Raw genomic sequence first — 24,486 nt, forward strand, 5'->3', positions numbered from 1 at the left:
CTCCAGTTAGATTGTAAACTCCTTTGAATATGGAGTATGTCTTGGTAGATATTTGTGGAGTGAATGCAGATCTTGGGAAAAGATTAGGTCTGAAGCAGTAAAATCATCTCCAATGAAACACATTCAACACTGAAGAAGAATAAACTAATTGCACAAAGCCTTTTAAAAATCACCCAAATATTTTTTCAGAGAAAATTAGTATATATTTATCAAATTTTATTGTCATAAACAAATCATTAAGTTCACAACACATTTGGCACAAACCTATTGGAAGAAAATTGATGGGAAGCAAAGAAGGCTGTCCTGTGAATCTTGTTTTTTTTTTTTACAAAAAAAAATCGGATACAAATATTTCTTACAACTCTAAGATGAGCTATGTGCTCCATAAAGATTTTGTCTAATTCCTAAAATATATGGAATTTGACTTTCCATAGCACATTTTACATTCAGGATAATGAGAAGTAATGAACTGAATATAGACTATTATATAAAAGTGAATACTGTGATCATTCAGCTTGAACATTAGAATCCATTTTAATTATGTCTTAGTAAATTTAGTCTATTTTAATTATAGCCTAGTGAATTTCATGGTATGAAAAAGTATTTAGAGTCCTTGATCTGGAATGGCAATGCTGTTTATTCAAGACTGGCCTTGTATGGGAATAAACATGGGAACAAGAACTCAAACTACTGGATCAGGATCACCTGGAGAAACTTGCTAAATGCTCTGGCCTCAGCCCCAGAGATTCTGAATCAACTTTTCTACTTTTAATAATAGTAATAGTGATTCATACTAAAATTTGGAGACCAATGTCCTAGGGGCATAAACTCAGTGATGCTGAAGCCAGCTCCTTCCCAACTCTTTCTCCAGTGATGACACACTGGAGACTAAATCAATCATGGTGGCTATATTGTTAAACATTTACCAGCACTCCACTGGATAAGACATCAGAGTCTCTGGTCTTTCCCAGTAAGAGAATGTTTTGGATAAATCTGGTCCTGCTGAAATTCTCTGATAAGCATTCTGTTATGAGTTTAGGAAGAAGTATAGTAGAAACTCAAAGTTCCCAAATTGTCAGACTCAGCACCTTCCCTTAGCAAAGTAAAAATGGAAAGGCTTAAAGAAGTGAGCTCATAGTCATTTTAAAAGCAAGGAAAAAGAAAATTTCTTGTGGTGGTACAATTTTTAGGGATTTATAGCCCAGGTTTTACTCTGGATAAGGTGAATCCAGAAGAGGGAGAGTGAGGTGACCCACAGATCTGCTTTGCCAACTTTCTTATATTTCTTCAGGTCCAACTACCCTATTGTGTTTCAACTCCAAGCCAACTCTTACCCAAATATGGGAACCTGATAGGGAATATTCCATGGCGTACACTCTCCCATCCATCCTAGATAGGAAGTGTGCATTTATGCTCACCTATTTACCTAAACGCAAACCAGACCTTGATAGATGCAGCCTAATTGAAAATGTTATTAAATAACACAGGAAACTCAGAGATTTGAGTTTTGGAATGATTGGGTTGACAATGAAAGTCCCACGACCCTGAGGCATAGTCACACTCTAGAGCCTTATGTGTAATATCTCAGGGTGGAAAAACGCAGTTCCGAAAGAGGAAAAATATCTTGCAGCTTCACTCACTGATGTAAATTGAGTGATAAAAGCCTCCTTTAAAAAAACGTGGTAGAGCAGACTAAGCCTTGGTTCACAAGAGAAATACAAAGAATTCATCCTTTAAAACAGTACAAAAGGCACCAAAAATATTCTTAGGGATGATTTTGCAAGCTAAACATTGTGTGAACTGAATCACATACATTGAGCACTATGTTAGATTTTCTGGTACACTTATGATTTTATGAAATTCTATTTTCTCTAACCAAGGCACTTCCATTACTGACTAGCTAAATGAAATTAATGTACACCTCATAAAGAGTAAGTCACCTCACGGAAAGAATAACAATCCTCTAGCCAGGGAATGTGTCCCAATTTGAGATTTGGAAACTATGATCACCATGTTTATAGATTCCATGATAATGCTCTCCTTACAGCTAAACGATGTGTCCAAAATAGCTTCCATCTTTTAAATGTAAGGAAATGCACATGGAAGTTCCCAGCATCTTTGTTTAAGTGTAAAGCTTATTTCTCAGTGCTTCCTCTCCCTTGAGTCAAACCCACTACCTCAGTAAGGATGAAAGTCAATTGAATTAAGGAAAGCAAACAACCTTCAAATGTCACAAAGTTAGTTGATGCTTCTGGGGCCACTGGTTCATCTGTGGAACTAAATGAAGAAAGGAAAAGAAAAGAAAAAGGATAAATAATATAAGTACTGTGGAAGAACGAGAATGTTTTCCTAAATGCTTTACTGCCATTTCCCCCATATTTCAGCCCCTTGTCTCTTAGAGGAGATCCTGAGAATTGAAGGAGTGCTGTCAGGGGCAGACTTACTATGAGGCCTGGAGATTTCAACTCCGGGTGGTCCCTGCTGGGACTGTGAAGTTATGTGGTACCTAAACCACACAGATGCCAAGGAATATTCCAATGCCAGAAATTGCTCCCCTACATCTGATTTTCCATGAGAAACTTGGCAGAATATTTTCCTGTTTTCCCCCTTAGATGGACGATTTGGGTAATATTGGAATTCAACACTTATGAATCAACTTGTCCACCCCCATGGAACATTTTAAGTTATCATGTCTTAAATATCATTTCTAAACTTAGATATTTAAAATATTTATCTGGAAAGAAGATAGGAAAAAAGACAAAGGCGTAAAAAGTGACCTATATGAGTAATTTCTACAGTACATTCTATTTTGAGAAAACATATTTTACAGTCTCATTTCAAATAATATAGCACTCGAGTGTAATAAACGCTCTGAGATATCCTGCAGTTAAAACAAACATTCTTAGATTAATTTTTAGTTTAACATTTCTCAAACTTTTAAACTGCAGAGCACTGTTTATATCATGCCTCTTGGTTCAGACTGTTACCACAAAGTAACATAATGTGGGTGGCTCAGAAACAGAAATTGATTTCTCCTGATTCTGGAGGCTGGAAGTCCAAGATCAGGGTGCCAGCATAGTTGGGTTCTGGTGAGGGTTTTCTTACAGGTTGCACACCATTGACTCACATGATGAAAAGAGAATGAGAGAACTCTCTGGGCTCCCTTTTATAGGGGCATTAATTCCCTTCATGAGGGCTCCACCCTCATAAACCAATCATTTCCCGAAGACCCCATCTCCAAATACCATTACATTACAGATTCAATTTCAACATACAAATTTGAGGGGGGTGGACACAAACATTCAATCCATAGAAATCCCCGTTAATATCATAAGAAACTCATGTTTATGGCCCACTAGTTGGAATGTCAGTCAGATTTATCTTTTTTTTTTTTTTAGAAAAAAAAACAGAACACAAAAGCGCTGAAAGAGGTCCCTTCTCTTGTTCTGTGCATAACCTTGTACACAAGAATTCTTGACCAGACTCACCCGGTTCTGAAGCCTTTGGCTGTGTCAGTCAGTTAGGCCGTGCACATGGAATCTGGGGATTATTGGGGACAGCAGAGCAAAATATTTCTGCTCAGGAGAGAGGGAAGCAAAGCTTCTATTTCTAGCACTCAATACTTTGTACTCATGGGATGGTATTGCTGTTCGGATTCCAAATTCTAAATGACAACTTGTACTTGAAGGCACTGATTTCCTTTGCTGGGGAAGATTTACTATCTACCACATATGCTTCATCTTTATTGTGTATTTGGCTATTGAATTATTCCTCATAACTGTTTTTCTTACCAAACTATTTCTTAAAGAGCTAAAGTTGTTAACACTTCAGCCCAAATCCTTTGCAGCAATATGCAGAACATACAGGTGCTGCAACTCTCAGCAATAAAAGGAGAGTTGCTAATGTAGACATAATCATACATTGTAAAGGAGCTGATGGGTTATAAACTCAATTCTGCAGGAAGTGGGACAGTGCTGGCCTTAAGGATTTCCTCACTGGGATTTCTAGAGTTGATGTTACTAACAGCAAACACATCCCTTTCTGTCCAACTGTACCTAAGATTCTTCTCAGATCCCTGGTATTTGAGTTCCTCCCAGTATTACTTCTATGTCCACCCAGCAAATGCCAAGGAAAAGAAACCACAGAAAAGGGGAGGAGGAGAACAGTCTGTGCTGCAGCTGGTGAGGGAGCCGAGGAAAGGGGGCACAGTCACTGTAATATCAAGCACTGAGCTCTGCAGGAATTTGCATTCCTTGGGGTTGATCCAAAAAGGACGCCCTTTGGCTTCCTGGTAGCTGTCAGGGCCTCTGTGAGACGAGCAGGTTCCTACACTCACAGGTTTGGCATCATGGTGACTGAACAGGACACAAGGGCCTCGGGCTGGCTAGAGTGACAGAGCATGGAGAAGCCTCCCTCTCCAAAGCTTGGTTCTTTCTACCAGCAAACATGATTAGCACCAGACATTCAAGGTCCGTCCTATGGACTCGGCTCTGGCCACCCACTTGCCGTGACTCTCCATGAAAAAGAATTCCAAGGTACTAAGTCCAGGCCACTCTCCTCTTCTATACCACACTCCAGGGACCCGAGATCATGGGTTCCCAATGCAAGGGCTCAAGCCATGGCCAGGTCCACAAGAGGCTCTGCCCTGGGTGTGTCCTCTGGAGGGCCCATCTTTAGAACTAAGGTGTAGCCAAGGAGCAGCTGTCTGCAGAACAGGAAGGGGGTGGGCTTGGACACAACTTCAATGTGCAGACTAGGATATCACACACTCGTATGAATGAGGCTCCTTAAAATGAGCGACTCCGTGGAAGGAGGAAAGATAGCAGGAGTGGGTGCACATTTGTAGTCTTGCCCCCAAGCCCAGCAAATGACTGAGGTTGGCTTACTGACATCTGTCCTATTAAGCAGCATCAGGAGACATCTTCATACACTTAAAAAAAAATAGGCCTCTTGCTTTTCTGGGTACTGTAAATAAAAGCTACTAGCCATTAATGTGTACTAGACTTTGTGCTGAGAAGTTTACACTTATTACCTCATTTAATCAACTATAATATGTGAGGAATAGCATTATTCCCATTTTACAGACAAAAAAATGAAAGAGGAGAGAGATTAAGTAATTTGTTTAAGTCAACACAGGTGGTAGGTGGTGGCCTGCAGTTGATATCTCTAATCCTGTGCAAGTGATGGGAAGTGGAGAATGCTGAATAAATGAAGGTGGGGCTTTGGTTCTCTGAGATGGAGAAATATCTGCAGACGCCCAGGAAGGAAGCAAGAAAGAAGCAGAAACCCTCATAGAAAACAAAGTAGCTTATAAGGAAGAGGGGCAAGTCAGAGGCCAAAGACAATGTGTTGCCAAGAGCTCCAGGCCACGTGAGGGCTGCATAAAAATCCCAACCTTTGCTGTGCAGCACCTGAACCCCACCCAAATCTTAAAGCAAATCACTCAGTTAATTACACAGCATACCTTATCATGAGCTAGACCAAAAACAAATTCAAAAGGAGGTTTACATTTCAGAAATAAGCGAACTGCTGGCTTTAAATGTTTTTAGTTCAAAGGAGTAGGGGTGTGTGTGTGTGTGTATGTTTGTGCATTAACTAAATATATTTGGAAAATCTATGAGAAGCCCTTGGAATGGGCTTCATTACACAGTTTCAAGAGCTGAAGTCTGTTTTTGCTTGTTGTCTTGTAGCCCTGGGGGATCTGTAGGGCTGAATTTCTGAATAAGAACTTGCAGCTATCAGAACCGCTAGGATCAAGGCAGCTGAGCACAAAAGTTCTGGATGTGAATTTTTTTAATTAAAAAATGTTTTTCACTAAGGTCCCTTCAAAGTCAGCTTGCTGAGTTTTAGGAGAAATTAAAAGTAATAAAGAATAGCGACCAAATTAATTTAAATATCTCTTCTACCTCCTTTCATAATTGTGGGATAGGTTTATAAAATATGTGAATAAAGAACACCTCATCACTTTTCAAAGACATGCCAAGTTTTAGGACAATAAATGAGTATAAATAAAATAGGTTGTATCAGTGTCGTATACGATAAAAACAGGAAAAAGTACACAGTACTCTCTCATTACTTTGCCCTTTCGCTCTTGATGTTGTATCCTGTCTGTTCTCCGTTAATGAGATCTCTAGGCAAAAACTTCACTCTTCCTTGTCGGACTAGGCAGACTGACATTTCTCCTCCTGGTAGCTGCAAAAACCGAAGTAAAAATCCCTGCCACAAGAGAAACACAACTTTTTCAGAATAAGAAATGATTACAGCAAGAATGAAGGAGTCTAATCAAAGCGTTCCAGCAGGCCTGTCAGTACCTGCCCACCGGCAATGAAGATTCCAGCTCCGTGTGTCTCTGGGGTTCTGTTCCATTCACTCAGGCACTTTACATAGGTTAGTACTGCAGAGGACTCACACAGTCCACTTAGGTTACTACCCCATTTCACAGACAGGAGATGATTTATTGATTAATGTATTTTTACATCATTTAAACGTTTTCTCAATGTTCTTAAACTTGAACTTTTATTGCTACAATTATAATTTTTTTAATGTGTCAGTGATTCAGAAGTCCTTTATTGGCCAGGCATAGTGGCTCACACCTGTAATCCCAGCACTTTGGGAGGCCGAGGCGGGTGGATGACCTGAGGCCAGGAGTTCAAGACCAGCCTGGCCAACATGGCGAAACCCTGTCTATACAAAAAATTCAAAAATTAGCCAGGTGTGATGGTGCATGCCTGTAGTCCCAGCTACTTGGGAGGCTGAGGCAGGAGAATTGCTTGAACCCAGGAGACGGAGACTGCAGTGAGCCAGGATCGCACCACTGCACTCCAGCCTGGGCAAGAGAACGAGACTCCATCTCAAAAAAAAAAACAAAATCCTTTATTAAGGTGTAAAAATAGTCATGAAAATAGAAACAGTCGTGTAACTTAGACTAACTTCATAATAAATAGTGAAGAGGTCTCCAACGTAAATAAAGAGTTTGTCTCTGCACGTGTTAGGATAGTGAATTTACAAGTGAAGATTTTTCACAAGAATCCAATGAATGACAAACATTGGAAAATTTGATTTTATTGGATTGACCTGAATCCTTGATGTGTTTTTTTTTTAATGTCATATTAGGGCATTACAATCATTGATATTTTTGCATCATTTTTCAAACAAAGAACAGTTGCTTTTATGGTGAACCAACTGAGTTTCTCCAGAACTTTTCAGTGCAAAACTGATGCTTTTGTTGCTACAAGTGGCATGGTCTGATAGGTTAGGGCACAGGCTTTGAAACTGAACATCCTATGTGTATATCTGACCTCTGTCCCTTACCAGCTTTGTCACTTTAAGTTACTTTGGATATAATGTATCTTTGCCCCACTTACCTTTTTTGTCCAGGGGTACTATTAAGTGTCTGATCTTACAGAGTTGTTATGAGGGTAAAATGCATGTAAAGTGCTGAAATGAATGCCTGGGAAATAATAAATACTCAATAAGTATTAGCAATTATTAAAAATAAAGAAGAGTCCAAATTCAGAGAAGCCAACCTTGGAGTCGCATTTTTGGGCATACACAGGTACAAAGGATTTTTTAAAATTTATTTTCAGCACAATAGTTTATTGAATTCAAAGTAATATGAAAGGAGGAATGAAACAATTATTTAAAGATATTTTCCTTTTTTGGTTGACAAAAATTATATATATATATTTATTTTGTAAAGCATGTTTTGCTATATGTGCGCATTATGCAATGACAAAATCAAACTAATTTACTTATGTTTTACCTCAAGTACTTAACTTTTTTGTAGTGAGAAAAAGAATTATTATCTTAGCAGTTTTTCAGTATACAGCACATTGTTATTAACTATAGTCACCATGTCATACAATAGAACTCTTGAACTTATTCCATCTATGTACCTGAAATTTTGTATTCTTTGACCAACATCACCCTCAACCCCTGCCCCGCTAGGTGCTGGTATTTACCATTCTACTCTCTTCTTCTGTGAGGTTGACTCTTTTAGATTCCACATATAAGTGAGATCATACAGTATTTGTCTGGCTTATTTTATATAGCATAATGTCCTCCATGCTCATCCATTCATTGCAAATTACAGGATTTACCCTGTTTTTAAGGCTGAATAGTATTTTATCAGATATATATCTGGTGATATATATATATATCATATATATATATCAGATATATATATATCAGATATATATATATATCATATATATATATCAGATATATATATATCAGATATATATATATATCAGATATATATATATATATATCACATCCTCTTAATCCAATCATCTGTTAATGAACACTTAGATTGATTCCAGATCTTGGCTATTGTAAATAGTGCTCGAGTGAATGTGGAAGTGCAGGTACTTCACCACACTGATTTCATTTCCTTTAAATATATACCCAAAATAGAATTGCTGGATCATAGTTCTATTTTTAATTTTTTGAGGAACTTCCATACTGTTTTGTGACTGTACTAATTGACATTCTCACCAACAATGTACAAGGGTTCTCTTTTCTCCATATCCTCACCAACATTTTTTTATTTTTTGCTTTGATTATAGGCAGCCCAACAGGTATGAGATGACATCTCACTAATTGCACTTCCCTGATGATTAGTGATGTTGTATTTTTTCATAAAGCTGTTGGCCGATTGTATGTCTTATTTTGAGAAATATCTATTCGGGTCCTTTGCCCATTTTTTAATCAGGTAATTTGTTTTCTCGCTATTGAGTTGTGTTTCTTATATTATATTTTACATATTAATCCCTTACTAGATATATGGTTCATTTCTTTCCATTCCATAGGTTGTCTCTTCACTTTGTTGGTTATTTCCTTTGCTGTGCATAAGTTCTTTAGCTTAATGCAATCCCATTAGTTTATTTTTACTTTTGTTGTCAAGTGCTTTTGAGGTCATATTAAAAAAAAATCTTTGCCTAGACCAGTATCAAGAAGATTTCCTCTATGTTTTTAAATGATAATAATCTTGGGCTCAGAGAAATAGCTTAGTAAGATATTGGCAAAGGCTTTTTATCAAGTGGAGCCATGGAGACTACAAATTATAAACAGCATACCAGCAGGAAGGCAATGATGAATACACACACTGCTGGATGAAGTTGCATGTTGTATATGAATTTGTCTGATCTTTGACCTAGGTTCCTGGGATGGAGCTTCTAAACACTTGGAATTTTCTGAGTAATAGGAGTACCTTTGCTATTCATAGTAGGCTCCTTATGAGGTTATGCTAACAAGGCAATTTATAATGGACCTTTAGATAGTTTCAGAATGGAGGCTAGCCCATGCTGGAAAGGCCAACTATGCCATGAGAGGGCTGGGGCTTTGAGCAGCCATGTGATATCAGACCTACCTCCTGGGAAGGGCTGGAGGGCTAGAGATTAAGTTCAGTCACCTGACTAATGATTCAGTCAATCATGCCCATGTATTGAAACCCCAGTAACATTTCGTTTTAAACACTGAAGCTCAGTTGAGTTTGCCAATTGGTGAACAGGTTTATATGCTTGGAGGGTTATGCAGCCTAATTCCGTGGGAAGAGAACAGAGAAACCCCACATTCAGGACTATCCCAGATCTTGTCCTCTATGCCTCTTCTTTTGGCTGGTCCTAATTTGTATTCTTTATAATAAATTGTAATTGTAAGTATGGCATTTTCCTGAGTTTTGTGAGTTTTTCTAGCCAATTTTCAAATTTGAGGGGGTTATGGAAACTCCCAAATTTGTAGCCAGTTGGTCAGAAGTGCAGGAGGCCTGAGGATTCCCAGACTTACAGCTAGCATCCGACACAAGCACAGTCCTGTTGGGGATCTGTCCTGAACCCGTGCAGTCTGCACTAACACTGGGTAGTTAGCATCAGAAGTGAACTGCAGTGTTGTGCTGTATGAGTCAGCTCTTGGCACTTGTGCACTGTGTGCACGGAATTGATGGACTGGAGGATGCTTTGACCTATTTGGCACTGAAACCATGTTTTTGAAAAAAGAACTTTTTAAAGTTAAGGATTATTTTATGGTGGTGTAGACTGAAAAACAATGTGTTGATTTCAGTACTGACAAAGCTTGAGCTAAGGGCTCTATAAGGAAGGGTCTCTGACACCATCATCCCGTGAGCACTCTACTCATGGGCAACAGTTAGCAGTCAACAAATGACTCCTCATCTTAATTCAGTGGTATGGTGAGAGGAACAATTGTGATGCAGACAAATTGAGCCGACAGAATACATTCATTTTCAGCATATTCTGCAAATAAATTGGCAATATATATCTGCTTTTACACTCTGAGGTTTTCTGACCATCAAGAAGATGCTCACCTCAGCTATTGAAGTTAAAGTTATTACAAAATCAGCTCACCCTGACACTTACAAGGCTGCCAAAAACCATTTCTACGATTCAATGAAACTTGCTCATGTGTCATAGCTCAACAATAGAACATGAACTCTAGATAGCCTAAAGCTGTCACTTCAGAGGTGAAATTTCAAGATGTTACTGCTGATGCTGTAATATCAGGATTTTATAAGAAAGTCAAAATATGATAGACTAATTCCTGAGAGTTTTCCTTTCTCCAAAAAGTCTGTGAAGTTCTTCACTCAACCAGAGAATTAGTAGACTTCATATTAGTCAGTTACATTTTAAAACCATCTCCACATGAGGCAATAAAAATGGGAAAAAATTATTTTCCAGAGTAGAATGTAATAAGAGAGTAGATTAGGAAACCATAAGCTTCTTTATCCCATGCTGAAACCCTCCTAATCCTGCTGGCTTTACACCTGACAGAGTGCCAGAAGTCATCTTCAGAGAGAAATCTCCCCAGAAATTCTGAGCTCTTGCCTTCCCCTGAAATCTACTCAACAGAGCCAGCAACCACTTGCATTCTTTTTTACTTAGAAGTTTCTAATTTAGCAAAAAAAAAAAATAATAATAATTTTGAAAAGAAACATAACAGACTGTGCGCAGTGGCTCATGCCTGTAATCCCAGCACTTTGGGAGGCCGAGGCGGGTGGATCATGAGGTCAGGAGTTCAAGACCAGCCTGACCAAAATGGTGAAACCCCGTCTCTACTGCAACTACAAAAATTAGCCAGGTGTGGTGGCGCATGCCTGTAATCCCAGCTACTTAGGAGGCTGAGGCAGGAGAATCACTTGAACCTGGGAGGTGGAGGTTGCAGTGAGGCGAGATCGTGCCACTGCACTCCAGCCTGGGTGACAGAGCAAGACTCCGTTTCAGAAAAAAAAAAAAAATACCAGATGCTGAGTCTGACTTGTAGCTGATGTTATCACCACCATGCTCAATATAATAACTTGGTAAGATGTTATCCATTTAACTGATATGGATTTATCATTTTAAAATCATTTCCATTAACAATAACAATGGCATTTCTTTGATGCTTTTGCAAAACTGACAGCCTGCTTGCTGGGTGGCAATTAACACAGCCCCAGATTTCAAAACTTTATAAATGGCCTAATAGGAGAAGGGACATGGGGAATGAATGGCAATGTGAGGATCTAGGTGAATGCTTTTCCCAGCAAAGAAAGCATTTAACTGGTGAAAGGATAGAAAAAGAAAACAAACAAAAAAACCACTTTACAACTCCAGATGTTTTCATAGGAGTATGCAGCAAATGGAAAAAGATTTAGTCGAGTTTTACTAAATCTTGATGCAAACGATTGAGTCTCTGGCATTTGAGTGATGGCTGTTCCCATCACCCCACCCCAACTCCAGCTCCATGAGGTGGAAGAACTACTCCAGGTGGGCACAGGCGAAAAGCTGGGGTCTCCTTCTCTCCCCAGCTTCTACTCTAGGACTATAATTTCACCCTGGAAGGGATAGGCCACTAACATCTCTCATTCTCTACAGTCTCACATTGTGGAAGCACTGTTTTGAGCAGGCATGGCCAATGGAAATGGGGATCCCTTCTCCCACCCAGCTCACATTCAGAGGGTGAGAGCTCTGGCCCGGGTGCAGCAAGCTGAAAGCACTGACTGTCTCTACTACAGCTTGCTCATAGGGAGGAGGTTCCACACCAGTGAAGCAGCCAAGAAAGTAAAAGGCAACCATCCACTCAGCCCTGCTTTAGAGTGGGTGCCATTCTGGGAGAAGTGGGATTTTATCCCTAGCTCTGGTATAATGGCTCTGAGGCTCTCCCAGGGGAAGGAGCAGGTTGTAAGAATAGAGAACTCCACAGCTCTGCCTGAGGCAAACAACTTTGGAACAGAGCATGGAGCAGTTCATGCCTAAAGATATTGTCAAAAACAATGGCAGTAGTGGTGACAAGTAATGAAGAGGGGGCTGGTAGTTCCAAGATACTAGTAGCAAAGAGCAAAAGGGCAGAACAGCCAAAAAATAACAGAGAGAAAGAGTGAAGAAGTCAGCCAAGAAGAGCCCTTCCATGACCAATGTTATCCTTGGGCATCTAGAAGGCTGTGCGCATGCTCTACGCTGCACCCTCTCAGAAACAACTGAAGCAGGATGTGGGGCAGCCTCAGAAGGGTTCCCAAGCCATGCACCAATCTACCTGCAAAGATTCTTTTAGTCTTACTGGATCAAAGGGCTTAGCACAACTTCTGACCAAATACTGGCTAAAAATAAGCTACTCTGACCCAGGGGTATGTCCTAGAAGCCTTGGCTTAAAAATGAAACCATTATCATCCCTGGGGGACTGGAAGTCTGTCCACATGTCCAACACCATGTCCTGTAAGGAGGGACTGGAGAGAATATCTCCAAGCTTGTAGCCCCTGGATGAACATGGGCAAAATGGTAAACTCCCCAAAATGTGAGGGTAATCTGCAAGCCACACACGTAAGTAATTTGTGAAAACAGGATGAGAATATAACTGGATACGAGCTTAATCATAATCTTCCACCAATATCTGATTTATGCAGACCCATATGGAACCCCCAGGAAGCCAGGACAAAAGGTCCTGGAGAAAATATCCGAGCAAGACATTGGAGGCTGCACAATGTGGGGTAAATTGACTCCACAGAATTACTCCAGCCCCACCTGATAAATAAGTAACCACACTAAAAGAAAAAATACTAAGTTCTCAGAAATGGGAAGGGGAATAACATTCAAAATGGCTATAATAATATGTTATCTAAGATGCTCAATTTCTAATAAAAATTTTGAGACCTGTAAAGAAACAGAAAAGTATAACCTATTCATGAGAAAAAAAAAAGGCAGGTAAAAATCACTGCCTTCAAAAGGAGCCAGTTTGGAATTAGCACACAAAGATTTCAAAGCAGCTATTATCAAAATGTTCTAATAAATAAAGGAAATCATGTTTAAAGAATCAAAGGAAGACATAACAATAATAATTCACCATATAGAGAATATTAATAGAGATAATATGATGCTTAATTGTATGTGTTACTTTCACTGGGCTGATACCCAGACAGCTGGCAAAACACTATTTCTGGGTGTGGTCTTCTGGGAGAGGTTAGCATTTGAATCAGTAGAGCGAGTAAAGATCATGCTCACCATATGAGTGGGCAATATCCAATCCACTGAGGGCCTGAAAAGAACAAGGAGCTAGAGAAAGGATAAATTTGGTCTTTCTGCTAGATTTGGGAAATCCGTCTTCTCCTGCTTTCAGATGTCAGCTGGGCTCCCAGATCTTTGGACCAGGACTAAGACTTATACCACCAGCACCTACCCAGTTATCAGGCCTCAGGTTTGGACTGGAACTACCCCACAAGCTTCCCAAGGTCTTCAGCTTGCACAGGGTAGATTGTGAGACTTCTCAGCCTCCATAATCATATGTGCCAATCCCTCATAATAAATCTTTCTATATACCTATACATACCCTATTGGTTCTATTTTTCTGAAGAATCTAGTCTAACGCAGGTAGTAATTACTATTTAAAAAAAGAACCACAGGAAAAATCTGCAGCTCAAAAATACAAAAAGCAAAATGAAAAATTCACTTGAGAGGCTGAACAGTATATGTGAGTTGGCAGAAGAAAGAATCAGCAAACTTGAAGAAAGATCAGTAGAAATTATGTACTTAGAAGAGAGGGAAAAAATTAAATAAAATAAACAGCCTTACTGAAATGTAGGACATCATTCCATGCATAAACATAAATATAGTGGAAGTGCCCAAAGAGAAGAAAGAAACAAAAGGGATCAGGAATTAAGCAACTCACCAGTTAAGCAATCCTGGCTGTGTTCATAAACATGCCTGCCATCAGGAGTTAAGCGGCAGATTTGGCCCTTGCACCACTCATAGCCTCATTCCCTCTGGGCCCACTCTCTCACTGTAATGAACCATTTCCAATTCTCCATCAGAACTGACTATTCCTTTGCTGATGCTTTCCCTGTTTCCTGGAGTACCCTCTTTTACCACTCTGCTGAGATATCTATCCATATTTTATTACTAAGAAAGAATTTGATGAATATCCATTTCTTCTGATTGAGAAAGAATTTGCACGTAATACCTGCTATATATGTTACCAATAGTAAGTTAACCAAAATCTGTACCAAATCTTTACAAGTCTAACAATTTTCCCCCAAAAAAACATGACAACAACAACAAGAAAAATACTACAGCAATGAATATGTATGTACTTAACTGCCCCAAAGTTGGGTCCTAAAGAGCTGAACTTTACAAAGACTGAGGCAATTTGTTAAGTATCGTGGCTAAGCATTCAGTCTTGGGTTTTGGTAAACAATTTTTTTTCTTGTTCTGTCTAAAATCCTATTCTAAGATTCTAGAGGAGTCTATTTCTTTACTGGCTGTGTGTATGTGTGTGTGTGTGTGTGTGTGTGTGTGTACATGATTGTAATAAAGACTGAAAAGTGCTCAATTCAGTTGCTGCTTTTTCTTTAACAGAAACAAAGCTCAAGTGACAGCTCCTTTAGATAGCATTCCCACACTTTCTAAATAAAATGACCACTTCCTACTATGTTCCTCCCAGGACCGTGCACACACTTCTGTAATTATAGCTCTATTTATTAATATGTCTGTCTCCCTTTAGACTGCTTCTTAAGGGCAAAGACCTTTTGCTTGTAGTGTAGCCTCTCACATACAGCACAGCTTTTCTCACTTACAAATAAAATGGAAGAAAGAAGGAAGAAAAGGAGAGAAGGAGGAGAAGATAAAGGGCAGAAGGGAGAGAAGGAAGGAGGAAGGGAAGAACAGAAAAAAGAAGGAAGGAAAGAAAGGAAGAGAGAAGGAGGAAGGGAAGAAGGAGGGAGAGAAGGAAGGAAATTGTATATAGCATGTTTCATAAAGCTATGTTGCTCCTAATACTTTTTTAAATAAGCATTTATAATTAACAATTACAGTTTTCCTAAAAAAAATGATAGCCCCAATCATTAAAATACAACAATCTATTCACTTGCTTAACTAGGTCAAAACAATGTTTTCTTATGTGCTGTATCTTCCCAAACAATCCAACCATTTTCTTTACTAACTGAATAGCTCAAAACCACTTGCCAGAGGCAGAAAAATGAAATCAAGTGCCTGGAAATGTCTGCTTCAGCAACCTGACACTTTTAGCAAAAGCTCATGGGAATGGCTCCTTGAGAGCCTAATCATGTCCCCAAGCAGCCCCCAGTGTCTGAGAATGACTACTGACAACTTGCAGAGGCAGAGGAGGGGAAGATTGGGCTCTAGAGAAATGTCTAAGATCCCGAGCTCAGGAAACAACAAAGAACTCATCCTAGACACCAGCTCTGGGGTCCTTTGCTTTGTGCTGAATATTTCTTCTTCACATTTGTGAATACTTCAGGCAGTGTAACAACACTCGTAGCTTTTCATATATACTATCTCCCAAAGTAATGAAAGGCTTAGTTCTCTAATGCCTGCACAGTGAATCGTGTTCACAGTAGTGTCCTTTCATTACTCCTGCTGGCAGATCTCCTCCTCCAGAGCCTGACTGGATACATGTAAGTCTGAAGGGTTCCATCCCCAACTGGGAAATGTAATTTAAAGTAAACACCATATCCAATGTGATGAGTGTTGTGAGGTGTTATTAAAAATATCAGTCCACAGAATAGATGTGCAGCGTTCTTCATTGCATAATGATCTGACAAAATAGGTCTTCAGTGTGTGTGATAATACAATTAGAGACCACTTCATAGACTTTAAAATGTTCTCCAAGGAAGCTTATTGCCAGAGAAATCTAAAGATGAAGAAGCAAATTTCCAATTCGGAGTCAGATGCAGACTCTTCACTTTATGTTAAAAAGATGGTTCTTGTAGGCTCCTTAAGTCATAACAGAGCACTAGTCACTTCAAAATGTGAAAATATTAACAGTGAAAAAATAATACATTTATTGAACACTCACTATTTGCTAGGTGCTATGATGTGAGTTTCCCATTAAGTACTCTTTTCACCTCCAGTTAAAGGTGAAGAAACAAAGTTTTCATGATTTCAACACTTGCCCAGCTAGTAAGTGGCAGGAATGAGTCTCCAATCCAGACTGTTTTACACTGACATATACTGTTACTGTTCTATGGCTTTAAACTCCAAGCATAGCTAGAGTTTAAAAGAAAACAACAATGGAAGAATGATTTAATCCAAAAAGGAACCAAAGAAGCAAAATCATGAAGCAAGAAAGGTCAAAGCAATCTTGTCCAGGACCCTGAGAGTGAGCAAGTGGGACTCCTGCCCCACTTGCAGGAGTGGGTCGAAGATGAATGTTCTAGAGAAACTTGCATATACCCTGCCTCTTCTGGTGTCACCTCCAGAACCGTGGAAGAAAAAACGCGTTGGCAACAGCTGGCATATGCTTAGGAAGAAAGAACAAATGTCCCATGTCAGACACTCAGAACTCTATATAATCATTTTGCCTTTGTGACTCAAACTGTTGTAATAAAATCAGAATTTTATTCTCCTATTTGTCTGGCTTAACTTTTGCCTCTAGAAAAATCAGTTATAGAGAGAATGAAGATTTCCAATAGCCCAGAGGGAATTACTAGACACCCCTCACTCCGTCCACACAGGGCTATTATCCAAATTAATCAAATCTATACGTACTATTCCCACCACCCATTCTGGTCTCTGAAGCCTGGCTCAGAATTCTATTATATATTTTATTGCCACCCTTGCAAGAGTCAGCTATTTATAATTAAACGTTTTCTGTCATTCCTTTCTGTCACTGTTGGATGTCAAAACTGAGGAAAATATGGAAATATTGAAAAATACTGACTCTTATTAACCTTAAACTGCCTATGCCCATCACTACACTTATGCATGTGTGGGCGCACACATATACTTGCACACACACATGCAGGCCAGGCACATGCACACACACATGCATGCACACACACAGGCATGTACACATACATGCCCACACACATGCATGCCCACACATGCAGGCACACGTGCATGCAAACTCATGTACACACATGCATACACACACGGATGCACACACATGCAGACACACACATGCATGCACACACACGTATGCATGTGCATATGAAGGCACACACATGCACACACACATGCAGGTACACACATGTATGCACACACCCATGTTCATGCACACACACGTATGCACACACACTTGCACACACACATATCCAGGCACACACACATGCACACACACATACATGCACACACACATATGCAAGCACACACAAGCAGGCACCCACAGACATGCAGGTACACACACATGCACACACATGCAGGCACACACTCATGCAGGCACACACATACAGGTGCAAACATACATGCACATACATATGCAGGCACACACACACATGCAGGCACATAGACACACGTGCAGCCACGCATGCCTTTTCTCCCTGAAAATGCATCCACTCATGGTTTTTGGTCAAATTTTTGGAATTTTTCAATTTCCTTTTCTTTTCAGTTCCAATCTAAGACTCCAGATTCAACTATGTTGTAAAAGACTCTTAGTAGCCTCCTCCCCGTTTCTCTGGAAAGTTCTGCTCTTCTGAGAAGTCTCAATCCTCCAAAGAAAATGAGGTCCTAGGGAGTCTGAGAGTTAAGAGATCTGAATTCCCTCCTGACAGGTTCCAAAAGACAATTGATAAAGACCTATTTATCTGGCAACTCAAAGCTATCCACTCCTGGTCACAATTCACATTCTTCTCCTCAGCCTTGGTTTCTACCAAAAAGTCAAAAAACATATTACATTTCTAAATCCTGACTTCATACCAAAATATATGGGTCATATGTTTCAAATAGCAGCTCTGTTCAAGAATGGCCAAGTGAGCAAAATTTTGTTCTTTTCATTTGAAAGTAGATTTACAAGTGGATCTTTCTTTGGAAAGAGGGTGTGTTCCTAAGAAATTTTGAGTCAGAATATTGTAAGTACATTTATCTAGTAAATGTGTTAGAGAATGCCATTTTAATTATTACCCATCACTTATTTGTTATAGAAATTCAGATTTTTTTTTTCTAAAATAAAGAAGTAAGGAAGGCACATCTATGCTAGTAAATTGTACTGAAAAAACAATGCAGTCCACTGCTTGGAGGAACAAAAATCTACCTGTTTTTTATTCCCTCACTTGTAACAGTATTCACTTCCACTTACAACTCAAGATGTCCCATTTCCTCAGCAGGAGATCCACAAATACCCTCCAGCATCACCGATCTCTCCTGTGGAGAGGATGTCATAGGATGGAACTTTCCACAGTAGATAAAAAGAGTGACCCAGGTCTCTATGAACCAAGAGGATTAATATGTGTTTGGTCTATTTTCCTGATGTCTTTCTCTATCTTTTAATGTCTTAACTTATTTTTTAAGTGCTGAATACTGGGCCCTACACCTTGTCTCCTGAATAATAATCTCTGTTAGGCCCAAGCATCTGCTTTGTAAATAAACCATACAAGTTGGGAGAAAATATATGATCATTTTAATGCCTGAGAGATTATTGGCAATCGTTCAATGCATAAATTGTTTCATATTGCCTCCAAGACATTGTGGAACAATACCATAAAAGAAGCTCAATCTTCGCAATATAAACAAATAGACTTCTAATTTGTGTTTACTAGAGCAAAGCAGACAAATGGATTTTGTGTTTTGTAAGATTTCCCCATATGGAGTTAATTCTTGGCAGTTTTCAACCTAGTTTGCTGGGAAAATTCCTTTGAGTCCCATTTTAAAGGTCTTCCTGTGGTCACCTTTGACCCCTGCTTTGCTTTCCTAAGAAGGGCCTGAGAAAAAGTGATGAAGAAACTTCTTCCAGACATGATATGCGATTGTTTGTCTTCATTCTTGTCCTAAATGTTGTTTTTCCTTCTGAAAGACTGCTAGGAGCCAGCAGATAAGAAGGATTTATGATTTAAATTTCACAGGACATCAGATGTATGTATTCTCTGTATATCTAGTTTGAGGAATTGATGTGTCATATCATTTTCCAGAAAATATCATTAAAAAGTCAACACCAACACCAATTGATATTCCCAGACATAACTACCAACAAACCCACGTTCCAACAGGACACACAACGTAAGCATGTGGCTGAAATTCCTCAGATACAATATAGCCATTACATTCACTCAGTCATGCAGTAAATACTTATTAAACACCCAGACAAAGGCAGTGCTAAGTGAGTAAGAGAGACATGAAACTTGTCCCTGTAATGACAATACTTAAGTGAGAAAACAGACAATTCTGTAATTAATTAATTGCAACTTTGTCCTAGGTGGGTCTACCAGGAAGCTCACTTCCTCTGAACTGGGGAGGAGTCAGCAATGTTTCCTTGAAGAATGGGCTTAAGCTGTGAACTCACTTATGCAGAGGATTACATAGGCCAAGAGAGGCGAAGAATGATGTTCTATGCAAGGGAGGACAGAAGTGCAAACACTACAAGACACAAGATGTCTTGGCAAGTTGAAGGAACAAAAAGGAGGACAATGATGTAATCAGGCCCAATAGATAAGGAGGAGAGTGTCATGAGACAGGGTGGTAAGATACATATGGACCAGTCAGAAAAAGAGAATTGAGAATCATTGAGGCAGAGGAATGAGATTTATGATTTTTAAAATTGATTATTTCACTACTGTGAAACACGGGTTTAGAGAACAGAAAGCCAGGATGCAGGATGACGAATTAGGAGTCTGCAGATAAGGAATATATTGTCCTTAATGAAATTTTAAAATGTGATATATAAATGTACATATATGTGTCTGTCTACACATACCCACATGCGCACATATATATACATATATGTATATTTTACACATACCCACATATGCATATATACATGTATATATGTGTATCATATACTATAAACATATGTATTTATAATATTCTACACATACCCACATATATATACGTGTGTGTATATATATATATGTATACATACGTAGGTACGTGTACTCAAAAATATACCTTTTGAGTACAATTACATATAATATTATATGTATAATTACATACAAATATATGTAAATTCTTTTTAATCTCTACCCTGGAGATTACTTAACATTTAATATATCCTCATCAGACAAGACAGTTACAACAAATGACTTCAAATATCACTGTTACATCTTCACCAGAGCATTTGTTAATTGGTATAAGGAATACTAGATAGAATATTTCATTAGTGCAATGAGTAGCATTTAAAATAAATGAATTGATGCTGGTGAATTATACAGCCACTACGTTTGCATGAACAGTGTTCTGAGAATCTGGCAAGCCCAGTGGCCTCTAAATTTAGGAGTGGTACCATAGGCCTAGAGACCACTTGGTTCCATGTCCCACCACTTCACAGAGAATTCTGATCCATAAGAAGGTGAGCTGCATCCCGTTGCTAGACTATTGCAACTGCTCAGTGGAACTTCTCATGCTGGGTACTTTGCAAAGTGCCAAAGTACAAACAAATGGAACGGACTATATGGCAGTTTCTGTGCTTACTTGCAAATGCCATGTGGCAGCATCTGGTCTGAGACTTGCTTTCATTGTAACATCCCATGTGGCGGCAAGCTTGTGGAGGAAGATACTAGAGCTCTCTTCGATCTCCATATGTCTTAAGCTAGTAATACTGTCAACATGAACCTGAAAATGAGATTGATTGGCCAAGTTGGCTCAGGTTAGTTGACAATAACTGGATTAAGATAGCAATGGTGGAGATGGAGGAAAGTGAATCTACTGAAGGGATGGATTGAGGGAGAGGGCAGAAGCAAGAATGTCGGTTTTCTAGCATAAGCAACTTGGTACATGGTGGTGCAATATACAGAGACAAGGAACACTGGAGACACAGCTGGTTTGGGAGAAAGATTACAAATTTGGTTTTGGACAGATTGGGTTTGATAGATTTGTGAGTTTGCTAAATGAAGATATTACTCATATGTAGTTGGATACAAGAGGTCTGGGGTTGAAGAAGTACTTGTGGGAGGCTTTAGTAAGCAGAGATAACTAAAGCCACGGGAGACCATGAGATGGTCTAGGTAGATAATGATGTAGGAAGAAGGGAAAAGGCCCTGAAGAACGCCAACATCTAGAGGGTGAATATTGGAGCAACATACATCAGTAATGATTTTGGTGTTGTAACTCTAGCAAATATGTGTCATTTTACATAATTTTAAGAACTGATAGCAAAATGTATTTTCAGATAAGTTGGCTTTATTTGGGAAAACACATCGATAAGCCAACTGAGATAGACTGCACTGCAGTAGGCTCAATGGCATACTTATGCTGTGAAATAACATCACAGAATGGCTATGCAGCAGATTAAATTCCTTTGTTTTGCTTTTTAAATATGAAAAGAGGACAGAGGAGGCAGCCCGATGGAGAGATGCCAGGCTGGTGGGGTTACTTAAACATCACAATGGAAGGGCAACTGAAGAAAGGTTGCCTACTGTTCCATTTACAGTTGTTCATGACGCTGCATTGTAACTGAGTTTTTCATTTCTTTGTTTTGTTTTGTTTGAAACCAGAGAAGAAGCTTATCATGAGTGACGTAAGGTCAGAGATAACCAGGTCCATGCATGTTTGTGTTTTTCCACAATGTCAGACTTTTATTGATGCTATTTCAATCATGAAAGCCATGCGCTCCACAGAGTTCCCAAGGAGGTAATTCTCCTTAGTACTTCCTGTTCACTAGGTAATCAGAGCCACAGGCACATAAGCGCAAGCCATCTCACAAGTCAGTCAATATTGCAAACCATACATAATAGTATACTTCATCAGTACATAAATGATATAAATTAAACATTCCACAACAAACAAAGTAACATTTAACATCAAGAGAAAGGGGATAGAAAACAAACTAGTCCAAGAAGAATGATGTGAACAAAAAGAATATCCTGATCTGGGCCTAAAGGTCCCTTGGTCTTGTAAGAAAGAGCCTTTGATGTGGGCAGAGTCTTCAGCAGCAGATGCTTGGTGTTTATCACAAGACAGCAAGATGGTGTCTGTTAACATGGCTATTTCAAGATGCTGAAATCCTGCTTTTTATGGCCACAGGGTCCTCTGATGAGGACTGATGGTGGAGGAGCATGCTTGGTTGTGTCCTTATGTGGTTGGATGCAGTCCTTATTGATCAGGCAAAACATCTGGTCCTGGTTGGTAGAGTGCCTTTTGAAATGTAAGATGGAGTCTTTTTTCTAATGTGGAGTTACTTATGTCAAGGGTGCTCTATACAAAGCTAAGTTTCATGTTGGGGTCAAAGTGATAAAGAACAAAGGCAGGATATGGATATATAAGAATGCAGTGGTTGAGACAGTCTTTGAAAATAGCACTCCCCACCCCAGGAATTTGCAGAAATTTGGGGACTGGCCTTGAACTCTGATAGGCTGTGAAATTGAAGGGCTTATTTACTAAATATTTTGAAGGATAAGCATATCTATCATCTTATGTCTGGGTTATATATATTTCATATATTATACCTTATCTCTGTATTATTTTCAAGTAGCTAATAATAGTCACAAGTTCAACAATACAAATGGCACATAAAATAAGTCTCCCTCTCATTCTATCTCTTATCCAGAGGCAACCATTATCATCTGTTTCTTATTTATCTTTCCAGAAACATGCTATTTGCAGAAAGCAAATACATGTATAGTCTTTTAAAATGTTATCAGAAGCATTGGCATACTGTATAAATTCTTCCACATCTTGCTTTTCTCTCATAATAGGCACTGAAGTGCTTTCCATATCAGTACAGAAAAGCTGCCTTTTACATGGCTGTATCATATTCTACATATGGATGTACCATAATCTATTTAAGGAATTTCCAATCGATGGTCATTTGAGTTGCTTCCAGACTTCCACTATTGTTGAAAATGCCTCAGTGAAAACCTTGTCCATAATTACTTGGCGCATGTGCAAACCAAAATTATTCTTCTTGACAAAATAGTTTAAAATTCCCTTCTCATCATGAAAAGGGGTAGAACAGGGAGGAGGCAGGTGCCAGGAAGAACACAGATAAAGGTTCAGAAAGCTCAGCTTGAGATCTCAGCGAGCTGCAGCAGCAAAATTGCAGCCACATGTTTCTGGGCCATTGGAGGAAAGCAAAACATTGCAGAGAAATACACTGATAAAGACTTAGGACTAGAGATCTGTGTTTTGGAAGAAGACATTCTAAAGCATATCAGACCTCACAGGACAAAGCCATGTGGATCACAGAGAAGATAAACTAAACCAGCAGGAACCATTCCCTTAGCTTCCATGGAAAAGGGTGATCAACAGATCTTCAGAAGAATTGAAGACAGGGGTCAGAAATTGTATTTTGTGTCTAGCTTTTATCGTCAAGTGTTGATTTAGTATTTATAACAAATATTTTTACATACTTTATAAAGTCTGGAGTTCTTCTAGAGAAGCAAGAGCAAACATATTCAAAAGCTAGCAGAAGACAAGAAATAACTAAGATCAGAGCAGAACTGAAGGAGATAGAGACCCAAAAACCCCTTCAAAAAATCAATGAATCCAGGAGCTGGTTTTTTGAAAAGATTAACAAAATAGATAGACTACTAGCCAAACTAATAAAGAAGAAAAGAGAGAAGGATCAAATAGACGCAATAAAAAATGGTAAAGGGGATATCACCACTGATCCCACAGAAATACAAACTACTATCAGGGAATACTATAAACACCTCTACACAAATAAACTAGAAAATCTAGAAGAAATGAATAAATTCCTGGACACATACACCCTCCCAAGACTAAGCCAGGAAGAAGTTGAATCCCTGAATAGACCAATAACAAGTTCTGAAATTGAGGTAGTAATTAATACCCTACAAACTAAAAAAAGTGCAGGACCGGACAGATTCTCAGCTGAATTCTACTAGAGCTACAAAGAAGAGCTGGTATCATTCCTTCTGAAACTATTCTAAACAATAGAAAAAGAGGGAATCCTCCCTCATTTATGAGGCCAGCATCATCCTGATACCAAAACCTAGCAGAGACACAACAAAAAAGAAAATTTCAGGCCAATATTCCTGATGAACATTGATGTAAAAATCTTCAATAAAATACTGGCAAACCAAATCCAGCAGCACATCAAAAAGTTTATCCACAACGATCAAGTCAGCTTCATCACAGGAATGCAAGGCTTGTTCAACATACA

At 39.0% G+C, this 24,486-nt stretch overlaps 1 long non-coding RNA gene across 1 annotated transcript in view, besides 2 other annotated features; it reads right to left on the reverse strand.

Moving 5' to 3' along the window:
* Positions 1 to 201: 201 nt before the first annotated feature.
* LOC107984580 (uncharacterized) overlaps positions 202 to 24,486 on the reverse strand; it is a 29,934-nt gene continuing 5,649 nt past the window's right edge. Inside the window, exon 2 of the long non-coding RNA XR_001749845.1 lies at positions 202 to 6,216. This is a non-coding gene — a long non-coding RNA (uncharacterized LOC107984580). The remainder of the gene's footprint in view (positions 6,217 to 24,486) is intronic.
* Positions 21,196 to 21,826: an enhancer, noted in NCBI's record as "OCT4-NANOG hESC enhancer chr13:39902917-39903547 (GRCh37/hg19 assembly coordinates)". NCBI's record gives its function as "activates a minimal SCP1, AML or CMV promoter by ChIP-STARR-seq in primed H9 embryonic stem cells {active_cell/tissue: H9 hESC(primed)}" and the evidence as "EXISTENCE:reporter gene assay evidence [ECO:0000049][PMID:30033119]".
* Positions 21,827 to 22,456: an enhancer, noted in NCBI's record as "OCT4-NANOG hESC enhancer chr13:39903548-39904177 (GRCh37/hg19 assembly coordinates)". NCBI's record gives its function as "activates a minimal SCP1, AML or CMV promoter by ChIP-STARR-seq in primed H9 embryonic stem cells {active_cell/tissue: H9 hESC(primed)}" and the evidence as "EXISTENCE:reporter gene assay evidence [ECO:0000049][PMID:30033119]".

The sequence above is a fragment of the Homo sapiens genome, chromosome 13 (assembly GCF_000001405.40).
Source record: "Homo sapiens chromosome 13, GRCh38.p14 Primary Assembly".
NCBI classification, from domain to species: Eukaryota; Metazoa; Chordata; class Mammalia; order Primates; family Hominidae; genus Homo; species Homo sapiens.